The sequence below is a fragment of the Homo sapiens genome, chromosome 5, assembly GCF_000001405.40.
Source record: "Homo sapiens chromosome 5, GRCh38.p14 Primary Assembly".
NCBI classification, from domain to species: domain Eukaryota; kingdom Metazoa; phylum Chordata; class Mammalia; order Primates; family Hominidae; genus Homo; species Homo sapiens.
In genome coordinates, this window is record NC_000005.10 from 134,148,822 (window position 1) to 134,173,367 (window position 24,546).

At 41.0% G+C, this 24,546-nt stretch overlaps 1 protein-coding gene across 2 annotated transcripts in view; it reads right to left on the reverse strand.

The window, feature by feature from the left end:
• Positions 114–24,546, reverse strand: part of SKP1 (S-phase kinase associated protein 1) — a 28,016-nt gene continuing 3,583 nt past the window's right edge. The window contains exons 3-6 of one of the 2 annotated variants that reach the window (NM_170679.3): positions 18,349–18,422; positions 12,166–12,309; positions 9,634–9,774; positions 114–8,947 (exon numbers count right to left, since the gene is read on the reverse strand). In NM_170679.3, coding sequence (NP_733779.1) covers positions 8,912–8,947; positions 9,634–9,774; positions 12,166–12,309; positions 18,349–18,422 — 395 coding nt within the window. In that variant the 3' untranslated portion in view covers positions 114–8,911. Of the gene's footprint in view, positions 9,775–12,165; positions 12,310–18,348; positions 18,423–24,546 lie in introns of both variants that reach the window. The other variant, NM_006930.4, reaches the window with a different exon arrangement.

Genomic DNA, 24,546 nt, shown 5'->3' on the forward strand with positions numbered 1-24,546 from the left:
TGCTGGTGCGCTGCACCCAAAGACTGCATCTGTTAAGACGCAAAGTATTTTTCATATTTTCACACAAGCCTTCAAGTTTGATAAATCTATTACCCACTTTTTAAAAAGTTACATACGCTGTTGGTGGACACGACAGCCACCATATCCACTTTATTTTTAGATTATTTGTATACATTTAGGGGGTACAAATGCAGCTGTGTTACATGAATATATTGTGTAGCGGTGAGGTCCGGGCTATTTTTAGATTATTTGTATACATTTAGGGGGTACAAGTGCAGCTGTGTTACATGAACATACTGGGTAGCGGTGAGGTCCGGGCTTTTAGTGTGCCTCTCACCCAAACAGTGTACTGTGCACGTAAGTAGTGTACATTGTACTCAACAGGTAGGATTTCATACCTCATCCCCCTTTCATCTCCCACCTTTTGAAGTCTCCAATGTCTATTATTCCATTCCGTATCCATATACCATGTGTACTCACTGTTTAGCTCCCTACAACCCACTTTTTACATGAGTTTCCACCAAGTACACTGCTGTCTTCCTGAGACCTATCATGAATGTAAAAGGTGTCATGAAGGCACCTCAATAGGTCAGTCAACAAGTAGATGATACATGTCAGGCAAGAAGTATTTCACATGGGACAGCCACTGGGCCACCATCATGCATTGTCATTGTCACTCCACTGAGTTCTATTTTTTGGATTTTGTGTTTAAAGTATAAAGTCATTTTCCAGAACAGCGTCTATTTAAAGTAGGCCACTGGAAGTTGTAACCCCAGACTTGCTTTTGCTTCTGAGAGAGTGCTAGAGGACACTAGCCATTCTCTGGACATCTGTCCCATTTTAAAGAATTCTGTTCTGGCTACTGGCCTAGTTGTTTAAAAAACCTACATTCTAACCAGGGCTTATGCAAGACCAGGTTGCTGCATCTGATTTGGTGTCTCACTTAGAGTACACAGGGTACCTGAACAATGCAGTCTTTGTGTATTGGCGGGGAAGTCTTTGGCAACTCTGTTTAAATCAGATCAGCTTTTTTTTTTTTTAATCTGACTTCATAAAGGAAACTCAGATCCTCCCAAATCACCCTGGTGCATTCCTGCGAGGCCAGAGGGTGACTTGAGATTGCAACCTCAAGTTCAACTGCTAATACCACACCAGTCCCCCTTCACTGCCAGCTGAGAACCAACCCTGTTTCCTGAGACATCATAAGACAAGATACCTTAGCCTCCCTTGAACATTTCCAGACAACTAGCAGACTGGCAACTTGGGTGAAAGACGTTCATCCCTCCCCTGGTACAGCTGCTCCCCATTTTGTTCTCTGTGGATATGGTGAGGGTTCAGCCCAGCAAGCAGACAAAGCCTATGTCTCCCAACGTGAAGGTGTCTACTTTAACAGAACCCCATGGATGGACTCTCTTCTGACATGTAATTATCTTTTGAATGGCTCCTGTGGTCTCCCATTCCTTCTGGCTGTGGACCCCTAACAGCTAGCTCAGAAGCACTGCACCCTAGCTTTGTTCAGTATACATAAGCCTGGCCAGGAAGGCCACAAGTAAAGGGAAGCGGAAGGGTTCTTTATATCCTGTTCCAGAGAGGAAGAAAGGGAATCAGTTCCTGCATCCGTTTCTCAGAAAACAGCACAGAACAGAAGGGGTAAGGGTAACAAGGCCATGTTAAACTACCTCTTAGGCCTATATGTCAAAGTAGAATTTAAGACCCAAATCTAGTTAATTGTATAAAAAGGCTAAGTTGGCTTTTCTTTGAGGTTCTTTGAGAGTCCTTAACTGCGACTCTCAGATCTCTTCAGAGCATTTTTTAAGCTCTTCAGGGCTTTAAGAGTTCACCAAGGGTTTCTGAAACAGCTGCCCACCCAAGCAGACCCTGGTTGTGTCAACTCCCCCAATCCCAACTTATTGTGATAACCTTGTTCCAAATCTCAAATCACCCTATGGGCATCTTTCAAATTCTGACTCCTGAGCTCTTCTCTAATAGTTTGGAGCTACTAACAAACCATTACTGGCAGTGAGCATCTGAAAATACTCAAAACGGCACCGAGTTTGAAAACAGGAAACATAGATGGTGGGGATGTTCACATACACAGTCCCTTAGAATAAAAGCCTAGCTCAGGTCAGGAAGGATTTTCAAGCTCTTAAAGATAGCATGGGATTAGGCATGTTAACTGGAAAGGGAAAACTTATGTCCTGGGGGTGGGAACTATACTATCACAAGCAGTCCTCACAAGTTAGGTCACTATTGGTAAGGGATGTTTCACTTCTGAAGACAAGATAGCAGCTGTGAATTATGCGGGAGATAGTCCAGGCCAATACTTCTTTCATATTCACCAGGGGCTCTGGACCAAGTCTTCCTTTTTCATTCAAGTGTTCTCATTCTTTTATCTGAAGCCTAGTTCTTTCAGGCATGTGCAATGTCAGGAAGCGGGGTGGGGCTTGGGGAGGGAAGAGGAAAAGCCAGGTTCCACTCACCAAAAATAAATAAATAAATAAATAAAAATTTTTACAAAGCCACTCTGGAAACCCTGCTTGAGTACTTGAGGATAGAGTACAGCTTCTCTATTTTCCCACCCCTTTCCGTAAGCTTCCTGGAACAGAAAAATCTGCAAAGCAACTGAAGAAGGCAGTTAGAGGTTGTGAAATGGTACATTCAGGAAAGAAAGGACAAATAAGAATTTTCACCAGATAGGTGGGAGGTATTCAAAGTGAGAGCACTTTAAGGAAATAAGCTGATCCTCAGTGTGCAATAAGAGGCTGCTATATAGCAGGTTGAAAATTTGAAGTTAAGAGATATCAGAAGGTCTGAATATACTTAAATACTTCCAGAAAATTTAAAGTTGACAGATATCAGAAGGTCGCAAGAACTACAGATGTGGAAGCAGACACTGTTATGAGCAACTACATTCCTCCCATAGAATGCTGCTCAATACTGGCACACAGACCAGAGGTAGCCAGCAGTACACAAGACTGCAAGGCAACAAGTACATTATCAATGAATTAGCCATCTATCACTCAAACTATGTCCCGCATTGGAAGTGTGTCAAGCAAGAGCACCTTCGACAACACTTTTCGGCCACCACTAATGATCATCTCCACTGATGCCTCAGCAGAAAGGATAACATTCAGCCAATCCTGCTTAGGTGTCCAAATGGCTCAATCTTGGGCCAAAGGACATGCTCTGAAATATTTCTTACACCATACTTCATCTTGATATGCACAGCCAGTTCTCTTACTCATTCTCTGTGACCACTGGAGGTAGTGATTTTTAACAACAGTAAACAAGAAAAAGTCATCAGGACTCTAACTGTAAAACCCCCAACATTCAAAAGACTGGTTTAGTTGAACAGCCAAAAAATAAATAAATAAAAATTAAAATTAAAAAAATTAGAATTTAGCTCACTCAAAAATTGCCCTGCCTAATGTGGGTCTGATGAATAAATGCTGATAAAATACTACTGAGTGTCAGCAAAGTACTGTGACTAATCCTGCCCTAATTTCTCTTTAGTCTATATTCTCAGGGAAATGTACCAACACCCAACCTTCTGCTGTTAGTTCCTGACTGTGCACTGCTTTTTCCTCACTTTGGCATCTGTCCACCCCCAAACAAATCCAACTTGATTCTTGAAACCAAATTAGTTTCACTTTACAAAACCTTTCGTAGCACCTTTCAGCTCTGTAGCCCCCCATTGGCTCATTAATCTGTTCTGTCCAGAAACTTTTTTTTTTTGAAACGGAGTCTCGCTCTGTCGCCAGGCTGGACTGCAGTCAGTGGCGTGATGTCGGCTCACTGCAACTTCCGCCTCCCGGGTTCAAGCGGTTCTCCTGCCTCAGCCTCCCGAGTTGCTGGGACTACAGGCATGTGCCACCACGCCCAGCTAATTTTTGTATTTTTAGTAGAGATGAGGTTTCACCATGTTGGCCAGGATGGTCTCGATCTCTTGACCTCGTGATCTGCACACCTCAGCCTCTGAAAATGTTGGGATTACAGGCGTGAGCCACCGTGCCCAGCCCAGGAACATTTTTATTAGAGTTATCCACTCCCTCCCAGCAGTATTTATGCCTTCTCTCCTGAACTACACCAAAAGCTCCCAGCTCCCTAGAGGGAAACCATGTCTAATGCTTCCTACCAAGGAGAAGCCAGGAGCTACACTTTAAGGATTCAGCCATTTTGTAAGCTTTCCCTTTGCTTGCAATCTTCTTATTCTTGACTTCTTCCTAGCTTAAAAAGTTATAGACTGGTTTCAAATCCAGATAATTGAAGATTAACTTTTCAAATCCTCAAACAACTTTGTAGGGAGAACATTTACTTGGTTGATTCCTTCCTACCAGAATGTACACTGAGCTTTAGAAAAGGAAAAATTGGTGGGTGCTGTGGCTCACATCTGTAATACCAGCACTTTGGGAGGTTGAGGCAGGAGGATCTTGAGCCCAGGAATTCGAAAACAGCCTGGGCAACATGAGGAGACCTCATCTCTATAAAAATCAATTTAAAAAAACAAAAACTAGCAAGGCATGGTAGCACACACATGTAGTCCTAGCTATTCAGGAGGCTGAGGCAGGAGGACTGTTGGAGCCCAAGAGTTCGAGGCTGCAATGAGCTGTGATCACATCACTGCACTCCAGCCTGGGGGGCAGAGGTGAGACCTTGTCTCTTAAAAGAAGAATCAAAAAGCTCTTCGGGCTACTCTGGGCACACTGCCTATGGGGTAGTCCTGCTCTGCAAGGAGCAGTTAAAAAAAATCTTCAAAAGCTAATGGTGGCAAGCAAAAGTTAAGCTTGTAAAGGGTGCTGAGAGCAAGAGGTCTGCTGCTCTCTCAATTTTCTCTTTTCTGGTGGAAAATCACCTTATATTCCCAAACTGCCTTATTGAGAGCCTAGGCAAATTAACTTAAACAAAATTTATGTTGGGATCAGAACACAGCCCATAGGATTGGTCAATTTTTACGTAAACTGAAAAATCAATGTGATTTGGAATATCTGCCTGCCCTAAGTGAGATGCCCACAGTGACTCACTGTTACTATCCTCCCTCCCCAGCTAGTTTTAAGATAAGCTCAGCATTACTATGATGTCATGTTACAAGGCTGCAGTTACCTGTCCAACCAAGTCACAATATAGTTCTTGCTTAATTCCAGGAGCTGGTGTATTCTGACAGTTGTAGAGTAAAAAGTCACAGCTATAATCCCACACAGGGAGCTACAGGATGATTTTGTGAATCTCTGAGAAAATATAAGAACTGTAAAGCAGTATCTATTTTGTATACCAAGAATAGATTAAGGCAAGCTAACACATGGCACTTCAAAAGAGTAACTTGCTTCTACAACTTAAGAATTATTAGGGCCGTGTGCGGTGGGTCACACGTGTAACCTCAGCACTTTCGGAGGCTAAGGCGGGCGGATCACAAGGTCAGGAGTTCAAGACCAGCCTGGCCAATATGGTAAAACTCCATCTCTAATAAAAACACAAAAAAATTAGCCAGGCATGGTGGCATGTGCCTGTAATCCCAGCTACTCGGGAGGCTGAGGCAGGAGAATCACTTGAACCCAGGAGGCGGAGGTTGCAGTGAGCTGAGATCGCACCACTGCATTCCAGTCTGGGCGACAGAGTGAGACTCTGTCTCAAAAAAAAAAAAAAAAAAAAAAAAATTATTAGAATTTGAGGGGGCACATCTTTAGCCTATGACAATGTTAAGGAGAAAATAATAAGCTAACATTCAGGAAGGTTTTGGTTTACTTTTAGATCACAAGTGACATAATCAATGAAAAGGTGAGAAGCCAAAGGACTGCCATGGAGTCCTTGAAAGGACTTCATCATTAAAAGCAGCACACTGCAGAAAGCAGCATGTTGTTTACAGAGGAAACCGACAAACATCCTTCAATCACCCAAATCTGCCAAATACCTTCTTCCTCTCATTCTCTTTCCTGGTGAAATAAAAGGCATTTCCTAATTAATCCCTAAGTTTACTTTATCAACAAGGGTTTTCTTTCCTTTACTACTATAACAGTAATTAGAGAAAGTCTTCATAATTCATCAGTAACCACTCTCCAAACCAAGGCTATTATCAGCTATTATCAAGCTCTCCCCTCTCATGCATTAAAACTACTCTTCTTGTTTTCATTATGCCCTGTACCTGCATTTCACAAGGACTTTTCACTTCTGTTACTTATACTGAAATTCATGGAGTAGTGCTGCTAAATACAAGTTAAATCCTGCTGTCAAGTGACTTCCAATGAAGTTCTGGAACTAATATAAAGCAGACTGCACTAGATCTATAAAACCGTAGTACCTATTTCCAACTTGCCCAAGGCCATGAAGACACTAAAACTCCAGCCTCAAGGTATGACTTAATGCCACAATATTAGTTTAGAAGAATAGTTGGGAAGTAAGAGAGTAGCCAGAAATGAGTGGAGTTTTGAAGACTGAGGTTTGGCTACTGTGATAATGAGAAAGGACCACTCACTCCAGGTGAAAGCCTAGAAAAGTTCTAGTAGATATATTAAAGGAATAGTGGGCATACAGCAGGGAACAGGAAAAAGAAAGGTAGGAAAATAATACTGCAACCAGACTGAAAAGGGCTTCTTAATACCATGTCTATGATTTATTTGGGTCCACAATGGTGAAAAATGGCTTATTTTCTCTTGGATCTCTATTAATGTAAAAGTTTAAGATTACTAGGATTTTTTGTTGTTTGTTTAGGGACTACAGAAAGTCAGGAAACAAAAATTTAAATTACTACTATATTGTCTGTCCATCCAATCTTTCTGAAAGATCTCATTATCCTTTAAATACGGATAGTGACGTTATTTACTCATATAATTCTAACTACTGCTGAGTATTATACAGATCAAGTGGTAATAACAAGCTCCAGTTTCTTAGAAGGTGATACTTCCTTTACAAGTTAAACATGGCATATGGCAGTAATCCTGGACCTTCAGTGAAGATTTGTTTGTCATAATACTGCTAAGGATACTTCTGGTTTGTTTTTGAGACAAGGTCTCGCTCTATTGCCTAGACTGGAGTGCAGTGGTGCAATGCCAGCTCACTGCAGCCTCGACCTCTCAGGCTCAAGCCATCTTCCCACCTCAGCCTCTCAAGTAGTTGGGATTATAGGCATGCACCATATGACTGCTAATTTTTTTTTTTTTTTTTGGAGAGACAGGGACTTTCTGTGTTGCCCAGGCTGGTCTTGAACTCCTGGGCTCAAACGATCCTCCTGTCTTGTCCTCCCAAAATGTTGAGATTACAGGCATAAGCCACCATGCCCAGCTGCTAAGGATACTTGAGGTGGATAAGGTTTTTGCAGAAGTTGATCTTATAATAGCAGGAATTGGTAGATGAGACAATTCAGCTAGGACTATACACCGCTACCTTCCCCACTAAAACCAGGACAAACAGAAAACAAGCTTATCTCCTGAGAGAGAGAGAGAGAGAGAGAGAGAATTTTAAATAACTCTTTACAACGTAAAAACCATTTTTAGCTCAAAGACTACAAAAACAGGCTATGGGCCTGATTTGACCCACACATTATAGTTTCCTATCTCTGGTACAGACAACAAATTGGAATTAAGTGAGACAACATATGGGACTTTATTAAATAAGGTGAATTTGGGACAAATGAAAGGTGAGATGAAGGCAAACTACTGTCAAGGGATGATCTGAGCCTGAACAACTCAGTGAATGTGAAGAGAAAACAAGATTACATGTGAATATAGATGTTAACTGGAAAAGCAAGGAGAAAAAAAGGGAGCACAAGGAAGAAAAAAAAATCAAAATTTGTGAGCCATCTCAAGCCATCAAAAAAACTTCATTCTATTGTAGGAGGGAAGCTGGAAACAATGGCAGAGTAATTTTGTGTTAAGAATTAAAGTACTAGCTCCAGTTAGGCATATAAATGACAATTAGAAGGGACAGAAGTTATGGTTATGTCAGCAGCCTCCAGTGAGCTAGGATATAAACTAAGTCTTTTCAAGCTGAACAAATATATACACATTCAACCCATTTAAGTGAAGAGACACATTTAAGTCCACAAAAGCAAACTTAACTACCTACTATATAACTTACTTTTTATTGAAAGTATCTTGCATTCATGATGGATGCTTTCTGGGTTTTACCACATATTTTAATGTTAAAAGTTAAATTATTCTTTACATGCAAGTAGTGTGAATAATTTTCTCCACATGGGAACACTAATTATAAAAAGATGACATCCCACATGGGTTAAGTGTCTTTTTAATTGAAAAGCTAACTGTCCAGTTACATTTCTCCCAAAAAACCACAAACTGGGTAGTAACTGAGTCTCTAGGCAATATATTTAAAACTAAGAGGATTAAAAATAAAGAAAAAGAAAACAAGTCCTCAGATGCAATGAAGGGAGCCCTGCTACATACAGGCTAATCAATACAGTGGTACTCCTTGACTGCAGGAGGCTGGAAGACATCCTAGTAGCTCCACTCAGAACATTTACTTCAAGAAGCCTTTTTCCAGTTTCCAACTCATGAATAAAGATAATATTTTGTTAATTCTATTCCAGAAAACTTTTTTGCAAGTTGTTTTATTTACAATGCCAACTTTTAAAAGGTCACTAAAGTTAACTGGACAATAAACTAGGCAGACATTGCTTTACAAAAAAGAGGGAAAGCCCAAAATGCCACTTATAGAGAACCCACAGTTCAGTTTTATTCAGAGCAAAGAAAAAAGAAACTTTCCATCATACTAGAAGAAACTTGGCCGTAAGGTTTGGGATCTGTGCTCAAACTACACATGCAATGAGGACAATATTCTGCTAATACAATTGACTTGCTGCTGCATTTGTCTACTGTTTGTCTAATATTAACAATTATAAACAGAGCAGTGCAACTAGTATTTGGAACAATCCTTACAGTGTTACAGTGTCAGGCACAACATTTCACTTCTCTTCACACCACTGGTTCTCTTTGCGTACCTAAAAGAGATGGATATAGGGAAGTACCTTAACTTGAGTAGTCTTTCCTAAGACTTATAAATACTACCTACTGATTCATCGATAGCCAGTGAGTTGAGTCAGAAGAACAGATGGAAAATTAGAACAACACCAGGTTAAGACTATATTTCCGGATTTCCTTTCTTTGCCTCCCATGGTTTTTATTCTGCCCTGCTGAAATTATGAACAAAGCAAAGGCAATGGGCAATTTACTAAAGTTGACAGAGCAAATTCAGTTAATTCATTCACATTATTTCAGTCTGTAGTCATGTCAACAAAATCATTCTGATCTATTCTTTCATTTCCTCCCCTCATTAAGTTGCTCTAAAGTACCCTAGTATATACTTCTCTCTAGGGCCTGCTTTTCTGATGTCAGATATGTATGGTCTATACAGAAAGTTGCAGGTGCCAAAACTAGTAACTGTTAATACATTAACAAGAGCTCTTCTCATTGAAAACTAATTGTTCTTATGCTTAAAATGCAGTATCATCTAAGTGTTCAGATTCATAAAGACAGAACAGTAAGAGTATGTTTAAGACACATTAAGTACATATTATCCCTAAAGTATCAAGACTACTTGATACAGTCACCTCTTTTGCTGGCATGTTATAGGTGTTACTCCCTTTTTAAGAGCATGTGATCAAAGACAAAACTGTGTGCTACCTACCTGGGCTTCCTCCTCTTCAGTAAAGTCATTTTTGATATTGAAGGTCTTGCGAATCTCCTCAGGAGTTTTCCCCTTGATCATATTGGCAACAGTCTTGCATGTAACATCAAGCAAACCTTTGATGTCTAAGTAGTTTGCAGCCTGTAAAGAGACAGTTGTTTTCCTTAAAGTATACTTGATGTTTTAAACTAAATCCAAAGTTAATGATTGACACTCCGTATCTAATAAAGCTTAAAATGCTAATTTTAAGAAATTAAAGGGAGAAGAATAAATCACTCCTAAGTTCTTCTGTGAAAGACTTTTATGTGACCTTCTTTGTTATACCTCTATAATGTTGAATCCTTCTGCTTCCTTAACCAAACTATACTAGCTCAAATGTGAAATAACGGCCACTACTGTTGTGTATGTGTGTACACATGCACACAAATACCACATCAGGTCTTGGCAAAAATATTTGTCCACACTTAAAGAGTTCAAACGTAAGCAGTTATAGCACTATATTGATCTCATTTTAAAAAACAGGTTTTGGTTTCATTGACTTTATTGTTTACCTGTTTTCTATTTCATTGATTTCTGCCCTTTAATATTCTCATTCTTCTGTTTACTTTGTAGTTAATTTCATCTTTTACTAGTTTAAGGTGGAAGCTTAGATCACCGATTTGAAACTTTTCTTCTTTTCTAATAATATAGGTATTTCATTCCATCAATTTCCCTCTAAGTACTTCTTTAGCTGCATCTCACCGATTTTTCATGTGTTTTACTTCCACTCAGCTCAAAATACTTTCTATTTCTTCTCTGACCCATAGGTTACTTGCAAATGTGTTAGTTTAAAAGTAGTTGCAGATTTTTCCAGATACCTTTCTGTTTGTGATTTCTAATTCCATTGCAGTCAGAAGACATACTTTGTATGACCTGAATCCTTTTACAATGGAGACTTTTTTTTTAAGACACCGTCTCACTCTGTCACCCAGGCTGGAATTCAGTGGCGTGATCTCGGCTCACTGCAATCTCTACCTCCTAGGTTCAGCCAATTCTCTTGCTTCAGTCTCCCAAGTAGCTGGGATTACAGGTGGGTGCCATCTCACCCAGCTAATTTTTTTTTTTTTTTTTTGAGACGAAGTCTCGCTCTGTCACCCAGGCTGGAGGGCAGTGGTGCGATATCGGCTCACTGCAAGCTCCACCTCCCGGGTTCATGCCATTCTCCTGCCTCGGCCTCCCGAGTAGCTGAGACTACAGGTTCCTGCCACCCCACCCGGCTAATTTTCTATATTTTCAGTAGAGACGGGGTTTCACCATGTTAGCCAGGATGGTCTCGATTTCCTGACCTCGTGATCCGCCCACCTTGGCCTCCCAAAGTGCTGGGATTATAGGCGTGAGCCACCGCGCCCGGCCTAATTTTCGTATTTTTAGTAGAGATGGGGTTTCATCATGCTGGCCAGGCTGGTCTTGAACTCCTAGCCTCAAGTGATCCACCCGCCTCACCCTCCCAAAGTGTTGGGATCACAGGCGTGAGCCACCGCACCCAGCTGAGACTTGTTTTATGGCCCAGAACATGGTCTATTTGGTAATATACACTTGAAAAGAATATGTATTCTGCTATCATTACATATAATGTTTTAGGCCAGGCGCGGTGGCTCACACCTGTAATCCCAACACTTTGGGAGGCCTAGGTAGGTGGATCACCTGAGGTCAGGAGTTCAAGACCATCCTGGCCAACATGGTGAAACCCCATCTCTACTAAAAATACAAAAACTTAGCTGAGCATGGTGGCTCATGCCTGTAATCTCAGCTACTCAGGAGGCTGAGGCAGGAGAATTGCTTGAACCTGGGAGGTGGAGGTTGCAGTGAGCCAAAATCATGCCACTGCACCACAGCCTGTGTGACAAGAGTGAAACTCTGTCTCAAAAATATATATATATATAATATTTTATAAATATCCATTAAGACAATTTGGTCAATAGTGTTATATCAAGTTATCCTGATTTCTGTCTAGTTATATTAATTGAGAGAGGTGCTGAAATCTCTATGATTGTCACTTTGTGGACTTCTTTGAGTTCTATTGGGTTTTGTTTCACTTCTTGGAAGTTCTGCTTCTAGCCAGATAAAAATTTATAATTGTTATGTCTTTTTAAAAAACTGATCCCCTTATCAGTATGAAATAATCCTCTTTAACCCTGGTAATATTCTTTGCCTCCAAACCTATTTTAATATAGTCACTCCAGCTTTCTTTTGATTCGTGTTAGTGTACCGTATCTTCTTCCATTCTTTAAACCTAGTTCTGTCTATATATTTAAAGCGGGTTTCTTACAGACAGCACAGCTAAGCTTGCTTTTCTGATCTGGTAATTTCTGCCTTTTAACTGTGTTTAGACCATTTACATTTAGTGTGTTACTGATATGTGGATTTAAATATGGCGTTACATTTGAATTTAGAGAGTATTAAAATTCAGTGTCAATGAAGTTAGCAAATTTAAATCTATAAGAAGTGTTTAAAGGCTCTAGAGTAGAGCTATCTTACACATTAAAAACTTACCAGAATGAGTTCAAAAAGTGTTCCTTGGTCAACTTTCAGGAATTCTTGGTCCCAAACAGGGATATCATCTGTTCGCTTTTCTTTGTTCTCATCATCTTCAGGAGGAGGAGGGTCATCCTTGTGGTGGGTGCACCACTGAATGACCTACAACAACAAAAGTTCATTCCTCTGTGGCACTTTGTCACAAGGTACTCATTCCACTGCTGGGACAACTTATCCCTATATTGGAATAATAACTAGCTAGAGGTTGACTTGAGCCATTAACAGCCAAGCTTGAAAAACAAAAATGAAGCTTGAAGAATCATTATAACCCTAGAAGGGAGAAGATCTTATTAGATAAAAGCAAGCCATGCAGACAGAGTACTGTACTTGACTACATTAAAAAGCTTCTATGCAAAAAGAAAAGTTAGGACAATGACTGGAAGATACCTGCAATATGTACAACAATGATTAGCTGAGAGAATATAAAATCTTTCAAAAATCATTAAAGAGAAATGGGTTAATATGTACAGCCAATAAATGAAATCTGAATAGCCAAACATAAGGAACGCTCAACTTTACTAGAAGCAAAACTAACACTACAGATACTTCTCTAGATTGAAAAAAAATCAAGAAACTGATACTAATTGTTGGGCAATAGTGGAAAGGAAACACAAACTCTTCTAGAGAGTATAAATTGGTATAACCCCTTTGAAAGCTAATCCAGCACTCCTCAGAAAAGCTGAATATGTACATATATTGTAACCAGCAAATTCCAAATACCCTAGACACATGTGTGAGACTATTTGGTGTAGGAACAAAGCAGGAAAAGCCCCAAAATTTCCTTAATAGGAGAATAATTACTCCATAAAGTTTCAGGAAGCTGATTACTTAGACTATACATACCAGCATAAAGACCAAAATCAATACTGAAAGTGTTTTCAGTTGTAGAATCTAGGCAGTGGCTACATGGTTGTCTACTGTGTAATTCTTTCCATTTTTCTGTATGGCTAAAACTTTTTCATAGCAAAATGTTGGAGGAGTAAACAATGCTGAGAGAAAATGGCAGAGCCAAGAAACATTGCCAGGATCCAAAAAAAAAAAAAGAAAGAACAATTTCAATAAGGAAAAGCCAAGCAAAGGGTTGTTTGTTTGTTTTTGAGACAAGATCTCACTGTGTCACCCAGGCTGGAATGCAGTGCCGCGATCATGGCTCACTCGACCTCCTGTGCTTAAGCGATCCTCCCACCTCAGCCTCCCAAGTAGCTGCAACTACAGGTGCATGCCACCACACCTGGCTCATTTTTGTATTTTGTTTTTGTAGAGATAAGGTTTCATCATGTTGCAAACTCCTGAACTCAAGCAATTCACCCACCTTGCCCTCCCAAAGTGTTGGGATTACAGCTATGAGCCACTGTGCCTGGCCAGCGAAAGGTTTTTGTTTTCGTTTTAATTTTGAGACTGAGTTTCACTCTTGTTGCCCAGGCTGGAGTGCAATGGCGCTATCTTGGCTCACTGCAACCTCCACCTCCTGGGTTCAAGCGATTCTCCTGCCTCAGCCTCCTGAGTAGCTGGGATTATAGGTGCCTGCCACAACACCCAGCTAATTTTTTTTTATTTTTAGTTGGCCAGGCTGGTCTCGAACTCCTGACCTCAGATGATCCACCCCCCTTGGCTTCCCAAAGTGCTGGGATTACAGGCGTGAGCCACTGCACCCAGCTAAGGGTTTTTAATGAAATAAATAATAGCTTTTTAGGAAGTATTCCAACTATATAAGAAAATTTAAAAACGTCAATATTTGCTTATCCAGGCATTTTTTAAACTCTAAACCTGGGCACAGTGGTTCATACTTGTAATCTCAGCACTTTGGGAGGCTGAGGCAGGACTGCTTAAGGCCGGAAGTTCAAGAATAGCCTGGGCAATATAGAGACACCCCGTCTCTACAAAAAATGATGATAATAATAATAGGCTGGGCACTGTGGCTCACACCTGTAATCCTAGCACTTTGGGAGGCCAAGGTGGGTGACTTACTTGAGCCCAGAAGTTTGAGACCAGCCTGGGTAACATGGTGAAACCCTGTCTCTATGAAAAATACAAAAATGAGATGGGACTGGTGGTGCACACCTATGGTCCCAGCTACTCAGAAGGCTGAGGCAAGAGAATCACTTGAGCCCAGGAGGCTGAGGCTGTAGTGAGCCATGATCGTGCCACTGCACTCCAGCCTGAGCAAGAGAGTGCGATTCTGTCAAAAAAAAAAAAAAAAAATCACTATCACTACTAACAAAAAATAAAAATTTAAAAATAAAAAACTCTTAAAAGGATATATAAAGAAACTAATGCCTAGGTTCACAACGGGTGGTGCCAGTAAAAAAGAAAAACAAAAAAATGCCACATTACTTTGTGGGGGGAGCAGTTTCCAATCAGATAAGAGACAGGGAAAGGAGATTTTATTGTACTTCCATAGTTTTGGCATCATGTAATTATTCTTCAAAATATGATATATATTCAATACAAACAGGCTTAAAAAAAAAAAAAACTTCTCGGCTGGGTGTGGTGGCCCACACCTATAATCCCAGCACTCTGGGAGGCCAAAGGAGACAGATCGCTTGAGCCCAGGAGTTCCGGACTAGCCTCGGCAACATGGTGAAACTCCATCTCTACAAAAAATACAAAAATTTGCCAAGTGTGGTGGCATGTGCTTGTACTCCCAGCTACTCGGGAGGCTGAGGTGAGAAGATCACCTGAACCCGGGAGGTAGAAGGTGCAGTGACCCATGACTGCACCACTGCACTCCAGCCCAGGCAACACAGTGAGGCCCTATCTCAAACAAACAAACCAAACAAACAAAAAAACCCCAAAAACCAAGCACTTCTCATTCTCAGAAGTGGCCCTACATCACCCAACCCTTTAACTCTGACCTTATCTACTCACTTCTTGCTCTAGCTTCCACTAAACTCCTTGCCTTTCCTAAAAAGGCAGGGCATGCTCTTGTCTTAAGGTCACTGTACTTGCTCCCAAATCCCAGAATTCTTTTCCCCCAAATATTCACGTCTTTGTTTAAAAGATTATCTTCGGCCAGGGATGGTGACTCAAGCCTGTAATCCCAGCACTTTGAGAGACTGAGGCAGGCGGATCACCTGAGGTCCGGAGTTCGAGACCAGCCTGGCCAACATGGTGAAACCCCATCTCTACTCAAAATACAAAAAATTAGCCGGGCGTGGTGGCGCGCGCCTGTAATCCCAGCTACTGAGGCTGAAGCAGGAGAACTGCTTAAAGCCCGGAGGCAGAGGCTGCAGTGAGCCAAAGTTGTGCCACTGTACTCCAGCCTGGGCAACAAGAGCAAAACTCCATCTCAAGAAAAAAAAAAAAAAAAAAAAAAAAAAAAAGATTATCTTCTCAGTAAGACATCTCCTGACCATCTTTATTTTAAAAACAGCTAACTGTTCACCTACTCACCCCTTTAAATTCCCCATTCCCTTCTTTATTCTCCATAGTTTTTCCATTTGATGTATTTCTAATGTTGCATATTCCCCACCCCTTCAGACCATAAACTCCATAAGGGCAGAGATTTTGTCTCTTTGGTTCACTGCTATACCCCCAGCTTTTGGATGGCATTTGAATGTACCAGGCATTCGACTACAAGCAAAGATCCTTTTAGAAACATTTTTCATTAGTATAAAATAGAATACGTTAATTGCAAGACATATTCAGAAGTCATAAAGAATGAGATCTAACTAGATAAAATAAAGCCTCTAAATCGTAACATGAATTAACGTAAGACAAGCAAACTGGTAGAAACTTTTAAAGAGTTCTTATAAAAAGCCTATTAGATAATACCACTGAATTGTCACTTAAAAATGGTTAAGGTGGTAAATTTTGTTATGTGTATTTTACCACAATTTTTTAAGCTCATTAGACAACAACATGGATGAACCTTGAAAACATTATGCTAAGTGAAATAAGCCAGATACAAAAGGACTAATATTGTATGATTCCATATATTATGTATCCAGGATAGCTAAATTCAGATACAGAAAGTAGAATAGTGTTTACCTAGCGTAATTTTTTTTTTTGAGGGGGGAGGGTGTACCAATTTTTTTTTTGAGGGGGGAGGGTGTACCGAAATTGGAAGTTACAGTTTAATGGGTACAGAGTTTCAGTGTGGGATGATAAAGTTCTGAAAATGCTTAGTGGTGATAGCTGCACAACACTGTGAATGTAATTAATGTCACTGAATGGTGCACGTTCAAAAAGTGAAAATGATCAATGTTATGTATATTTTATCACTATTTTTCTAAGACCATTAGGAAAACAGAGAAATGAAAACAGACAATGCAGAAAATGTAAATGGCCAGTAACACATGTAAAAACATTCACACTTTGGGAGGCCAAAGCAGGCAGATCGCCTGAGGTGAGGAGTTCAAGACCAGCCTGGCCAACATGGTGAAACCCTCATCTCTACAAAAATAAAAAAATTAGCTGGGCATGGTAGCGGGTGTCTGTAATCCCAGCTACTCGAGAGGATGAGGCGGGAGAATCACTTGAACCCAAGAGGCAGAGGTTGCAGTGAGCTGAGATCGTGCCACTGCACTCCAGCCTGGGCGACAGAGTGTCTGTCTCAAAAAAAAAAAAAAAAAAATGCCAGGCTCGGTGGCTCATGCCTGTAATCCCAGCACTTTGGGAGGCCAAGGTGGGCAGATCACAAGGTCAGGAATTCAAGACCAGCCTGACCAACATGGTGAAACCCCATCTCTACTAAAAAATACAAAAATTAGCCAGGCGTGGTGGCGAGTGCCTGTAATCCCAGCTACTTGGGAGGCTGAGGCAGGAGAATTGCTTGAACCTGGAAAGTGGAGGCTGCAGTGAGCCGAGATTGTGCCACTGCTCTCCAGCCTGGGCAACAGAGTGAGATCAAAAAAACAAACAAACACAAAAAAATTCAGGTTAGCCAGGCATGGTGGCTCCACCTGTAATCCCAGCACTTTGGGAGGCCAAGGCAGGGAGATCGTCTGAGGTCAGGAGTTGGAGACCAGCCTGGCCAACATGGTGAAAACCTGTCTAATATAAAAATTAGCCAGTGTGGTGGTGGGCATCTGTAATCCTAGCTATTCGGGAGGCTGAGGCAGGGAAAATTACTTGAACCCGGAAGGCAGAGGCTGCAGTGAGCTGAGATCACACCACTGCACTCCAGCCTGGGCAACAGGGCGAGGCTCCATCTCAAAAAAAAAAAAGATGCTATATATTAACTAACATAGACATATCACCTTTCATTTTGTTATATGGAAAAAAAAAAACATAGAAATGTATAGTTTGCTACCTTAAGAATGGGGGAGAATGCTGGGCGCGGTGGCTCACACCTGTGATCCCAGCACTTTGCGAGGCTGAGGTGGGCAGATCATGAGGTCAAGAGATCAAAACCATCCTGGCCAACATGGTGAAACCCTGTCTCTACTAAAAATACAAAAATTAGCTGGGCATGGTGGCGTGTGCCTGTAGTCCCAGCTACTCAGGAGGCTGAGGCAGGAGAATCACCTGAACCCAGGAGGCAGAGGTTGCAGTGAGCCGAGATCATACCACTACCCTCCAACCTGGCGACAGAGCAAGACTCTGGTCTCAAAAAAAAAAAAAAAAAAAAAAAAAAGAATGTGGGAAAAAAATATACTTACTTGTTAATACCTGTATTACAAAATACTGAAAGGATAAATTGCTACCTGAAAGGGGACTGGAATAGATAAGGACAGAAATGGGAACAAAGTGTTACATATTCCTTTGACTTTAGCCGTTTCAAAATTATAAATCTAAGAAAGACAGTCACGATTCAATTCCACCATGCTCTAGAAGTGGTATCTTTACAGAAGACTATTTAACAGTATCTATCAAAATTTAGGTATATAAGCCAACCTGCGATCCAGATATTCTACATGTAGATCATCCTTCCTAGGGAAGTGTTTGCATAGGTAGACACAGTACAGATGCCCAATAAATGACAATAGTCAACTGTGGCAAGAAAGCAGACAGAACTTTTTTCTGTATATTTTAAGAACATACAAACATCACTCAAGTAAGTGTTTAAGAACATTCAAATTTAAATGTAATTTTAAGCAGTAAATTATAAAATTCTAACATAGATTGTTGAATTACTTGTATTAATCAATTGGTGTTATATATTAAGCAGAATAAACTTAAACTCTTTAAAGACCTTACCTTTTTTAATATTGCTGCATTCACATTTGGTAGAGGAACTGGGTCATCATCTCCTTCATCATCCATTCCCAAATCTAAGAAAACCAGAAGAAAGTTTCTATTTCCTAATTCCATTATAATACTTATACCAACCAGGCTATGTCTCAAAACATAAGAGTCAGCCCCCATATCCATGAGTTCTACATCTGTGGATTCAACCAACCACAGATTAAACATATTGGGAAAAAAAATGGATGGCTGTGTCTTGCACTAAACATGTAGACTTGTTTCCTGGTCATTACTCCCTAAACAATACAGTATAAAAACTATTTGCATAGCATTTACATTGTATCCGGCATTGTAAGTAATCTAGAGAGGGGTTTTTTTTTTTTGAGACAGATTCTTGCTCTGTCGCCCAGGCTAGAGTGTAGGGGCGCCATCTCGGCTCACTGCAAGCTCCGCCTCCCGGGTTCACACCATTCTCCTGCCTCAGCCTCCCCGAGTAGCTGGGACTATAGGCACCCGCCACCACGCCCGGCTAATTTTTTGTATTTTTTAGGAGAGACGGGGTTTCACCGTGTTAGCCAGGATGGTCTCGATCTCCTGACCTCGTGATCTACCCGCTTCAGCCTCCCAAAGTGCTGGGATTACAGGCGTGAGCCACCGCGTCCAGCCATCTAGAGAGGATTTTAAGTATACACAGTGATGTGCATATGTTATATGCCAATACTACACTGTTTTATTATAAGGGACTTGAGTATTGGTGGATTTTGGTATCCACAGGGGTGTCCTGAAACCAATCCCCCATGGATACCAAGGGACGACTATAACTTATAAGACATGTCTGAAAGAATATAAAAAGTACTTTACTTAGAACAGCTCTCTTAGGAGCATTTAAAAATTGGTGGCTCCTAACGATGGAGTCCATGACCACCCAAAACTATATAAACTTGTGTGAGTACACAAATAAAGGAATATTACATAAAATAAGTTCTTAATTGGTAGGAAAAGTGATTTAGTAAGTTGGGCTTGAATGACTGGGTAGCCATCTGAAAAAATTAAAGATGGACCCTTTCCTTACCCTTTATATCAAATTCTCCAGATGAACTGTATTTTAAAAAGTAAAATAATGAAAACTATTACAGGTAATAAAATCTCAATCTATTCAAATCTGAAACCTAGAGATGTGTATACATATACACACTAAAAATACTAAAAATGCGCACAAACACGCACAAAACAGATCATGCAGCCACTGACAAAAACAAGGCAGGGAGCTCCAAACATAATGGTATGATCCTAAGATTAAAGTTTTTAAAGTAGGTTAAAAAAGAAAATTATCCGAATAAAAACAGAAATACACTTTTTTCCAACAGGATATATGAGGAACAGTTAACAATATTATGGGTAAGGAAGTTAAAGAACATGGGTTAAGGGACACAATTACGGGGCTATCAATAATCCAGGCACAAGATGATAGCCTGGACAAGGTTTGTAGCTAAGGAGGTGGTAAGAAATGACCTAATTCTGTCTGCATTTTGAAGGTACAGACAGTAGAATTTGCCAACAGATGGCAAGTAGAATGTGAAAAGAGTCAGGGTACACTAAGGTTTATGGCATGAAAAGGATGAAGTTGCCACCAATTGGTAAGGGGAAGGCTGTCAGAGGAACTATTTTTAGGAAGAGAGGATCAAGAGCTCTAGTTTCATAAATGTAAAATACTAGATATCCAAGGGCAGTTGTATGTTCAAGTCCAGAAATCAAGAGAAGAAATCACAACTGCAGGTAAGTTTGGGAACTGGTGTATAGATGGTTTATAATGCTATGAGACTATCATCAAGCAAATGGCTGTGTAGAGATATAGCGAAGAGGTCCAAGGATGAAGCCCTGGGGAACTGCAGGCTTTAAAGACTGGAAGACAGAAGGGTGTGAGGTAAGCAGTAAGTGGAATTTTGGGAACCAAGTCAAGAGGGGAATAATCAAGCATCAAATGATGTCAACAGGTCTAGATAAGAACTGAAAACAGACAATGCACTTGATGACATGGGGTTCACTGAGCTTTATAAGCAGTTCCAGTGGAGCGGTAAAGATGAAAGTAGATTCAAAAATAATTCATGTTATCTTGCATGGATGGATTCACTCATCTCCCCTCTCTTCTCCCTCCCACCAATGCCTATCCCTGATCCTATCTCAGCTTAGAGTGAAACTGTAAAATGACAATGTCTCATGTAAAGCTCTATGTAGAACAAGTCACTTATGTCTTTCCTGAACAAGTATGAAATCTTTTTAATCAGGTGAGAGAAAGAAGTTATAAAATGTAAAATACTTTTATCTTGAGAACTAAGATATTAGAGGAAACATACAGAAGACCAGCTTGTTTAGATCCAAATGTAATTTGGAACGAGGCTTAACTCACATTAAAAATTAGGCTTTTGGCCGGGTGCAGTGGCTCACGCATGTAATCCTAGCACTTTGGGAGGCCGAGGCAGGCAGATCACCTGAGGTCAGGAGTTCAAGACCAGCCTGGCTAACATGGTGAAACCCCGTTTCTACTAAAAATACAAAAAAATTGGCCAGGCATGGCGGCTCACGCCTGTAATCCCAGCACTTTGGGAGGCAGAGGCAGACGTATCACAAGGTCAGGGGTTCGAGACCAGCCTGACCAACATGGTGAAAACCCGTCTCTAATAAAAATACAAAAAACTAGCCGGGTGTGGTGGCGCATGCCTGTAGTCCCAGCTACTCAGGAGGCTGAGGCAGAAGAATCGCTTGAACCCAGGAGGTGGAGGCTGCAGTGAGCCGAGATTGTGCCATTGCACTCCAGCCTGGGTGACAGAGTGAGACTCCATCTCAAAAAAAAAAAAAAAAAAATTAGCTGGGTGTGGTGGCGCATGCCTGTAATCCCAGCTACTTGGGAGGCTGAGGCAGGGGAATTGCTTGAACCCAGGAGGCAGAGATTGCAGTGAGCCCGAGATTGCGCCATTGCACTCCAGCCTGGGCAACAAGAGTGAAACTCCATCTCAAAAAAATAAAATAAAATAAAATAAAGGCTTTTATGACTGTAAAGGATTGTAAAGCTAATTTTTTATTTTTTGTAAAGACAGGGTCCTGCTATGTTGTCCAGGCTGGTTTTGAACTCTTGGGCTCAAGTAATCCTCTTTAAATCCTCTAGCATTTAAAGTAAGGATGTACGATATTTTTTGCTTTCAGACTAAATGCACAAGTAGCAACAGTCATTCCTTTAAGCTATTTAGTTTCAGGGACTTCTGAAAGACACTTGTATCCTGATACTGTACCCTGGACCTGAACTAATCATTCAATCCACATGTAAATGTGCCAAGAGTCTCACTTCTGATTGTCCTGTGGATTAAAAGGTTTTATTTTTGTTTTCTAAGTCACATAAAACCCATAACCAGAGATACTGCAGGTGGAAAACAAAAAAAGCAGAAAGTTGCCAAATTCAAAAGACTCCAGCCCTCAAGAGGCTAGAATCTTATGTAAGCCATTGGTACTTAAGATAAAACCATTCACTTCTGATTCCCAAAGGCAACAGAGTAAAAGAATAACTTAATTGTTGCTAACTGCCTATCCGTCCACTTACTTCAGTGATCAAAGCTGGCATGGTAAGTCTTCAAGATGCCCTATGTTCTTAAAATTGGCAAATGCTTCCTTGAAGCAGCACAGGACAGATTAGTGTGTCAGGCACCAAGATAAAATAAAGAACACTTTCAATGCCAAAGCAAGTATTTAGGCAGCAATTCGGGTATCAGTTTCTACATCTTCTGGATAAAACCTTACTCACCTGCCTTTTAGGGACACTTGGATTGCTTTCAGTTTTTTTTAGTGAGCACAACATACTCTTCATTCAATAGGTACTTGATGAACAGTGACTGTGGGATGTACCAAGGAGTTTACAACTTAATAGAAGTTATCTTAAGTTACCAGAATACAGGACTTTAAAGGCCACTATGATTGGTACCAATTACTAAAGAGAATTCTAAGCTTTTATCAGAAAACAGAAGTCACCCACTTAGAAAACAAAACAGAAGACACATCCTCTGCAATTCAGCTTCTGCCTCTACCACACCTAAGTATCTGCTGCTAGAAGTCCTCTAACTTATTAACTATGAAATCCTAAGGACCAGTCTACAGTATATAAATCTGGCAATCACTCTAGTCACCTAGAAATGTCCCCTTTTCCCTTGGCTTCCACAAATCATACTCTACTAATTCTCTACTACTGATTTCTATACTCTTAGCACCCCAGCCCCAACATCATCATCTTCCAGAGTTAAACTCCCATAACCCAATATATAAAACAAGTCTACTTATCTCTAGCAGTCTAACTCTGGGGCCAATATCCACAAACTCAATCACCTAGTAGACTGCTACTAGTAGATCTTCTGAAGGAATCTCAAACATGGTTTAAACTCAAAGTCATTTTCTTCTCCATTCCTCTCAAACCCATTTTCAGCTCTACCAACTACAGTATCACAATTCCATCCCACCCCAACTAAAAACCGTATTTTCACTTTCCCTAGCACACCCTGTCTACTTTACTTCAGAATGATCTCCCAAAACATTCTAATTTTACTAGATTTGAAATATCACCTCGGCTGGGCTTAGTGGCTCATGCCTGTAATTCCAGCACTTTGGGAGGCTGAGGTGGGCGGATCACCTGAGGTCAGGAGTTTGAGACCAGCCTGACCAACATGGAGAAACCTCGTCTCTACTAAAAATACAAAATTTGCCTCGCATGGTGGCACATGCCTGTAATCCCAGCTACTTGGGAGGCGGAGGCAGGAGAAGTGCTTGAAGCCGGGAGGCAGAGGTGGCAGTGAGCTGAGATTGTACCACTGCACACCAGGCTGGGCAACAAGAGCAAAACTCAGTCTCAAAAAAATAAATAAATAAAAGAAATATCCTCACCAGTATTACATACTGCAATCTCTTCAAGACTCAAGAATAACACTAGCCAAGATGTTCCCACAGCGCCACTTGGCGCGCAACTTTATTAATGCACTAATTACACCATGTGACAAGTTTGCCTTGTTTGTGTCTGACTTCCCTCCTAGTTTATAAATTCTTCAAGGGCAAAGGCCATGTCTCACTTACCTTCTTTTCACCAGCACCAAAGCTTGGCACATAACCCTTCTCTTCGTTCAAGTATTTATAATCTACTGATCTTTCCCTACATAAAAAACCTCTGACATTTAAGTACTAAAGAACACTCAATACTACTAAGTTTTTTTCATCAATTCCAGACACTGATTTGTATCACCCCACTGGTAACACTAAAAAGAGATCCACATTAACTAGCGAAAGTTTCAAGACCTGTTTTCTAAGTCACTTCCTTATGCTGCATATATACTTTGTAGTAGTTTCAGAGGAATGACAAAACAGACAAAAGAGAAAGCTTGTTTAAAAAAAAAAAAAAAAATTCTGCCTGGCAGAGTGGCTCATGCCTGTAATGTGGCTCTTCCCAGTACTTTGGGGTGCCGAGGTGGGAGGATGGCTTGAGTCCAAGAGTGCGAGAACAACCAGGGTAACATAGGGAGATCCTGTCTCTATAAAAACATTTAGGCTGGGCGTGGTGTCTCATGCCTGTAATCCCAGCACTTTGGGAGCCTCAGGCGGGTGGATCGCAAGGTCAGAAGATCGAGACCAGCCTGACAAACATGGTAAAACTCCATCTCTACTAAAAAATACAAAAATTAGCCAGGCATGGTGGCATGCACCTGTAATCCCAGCTACTCGGGAGGCTAAGGCAGGAGAATCACTTGAACCCGGGGGGCAGAGGTTGCAGTGAGCTGAGATCATGCCACTTGCACACCAGCCTGGGCAACAGAGCAAGACTCCGTCTCAAAAAAAAAAAAAAAAAGAAAATTAAAAAATCAGCTGGGGCAGGGCGCGGTGGCTCACACCTGTGATCCCAGCACTTTGGGAGGTCGAGGTGGGCGGATCACCTGAGGTCGGGAGTCCGAGACCAGCCTGACCAACATGGAGAAACCCCGTCTCTAACAAAAATACAAAATTAGCCGGGCTTGGTGGCACATGCCTCTAATTCCAGCTACTCGGGAGGCTGAGGCAGGAGAATCGCTTGAACCAGGGAGACGGAGGTTACAGTGAGCCAAGACTGCACCATCGCACTTCAGGTTGGGCAACAAGAGCAAAAAAATCCGTCTCAAAAAAATCAGCTGGATGTGGTGGCACGTGCCT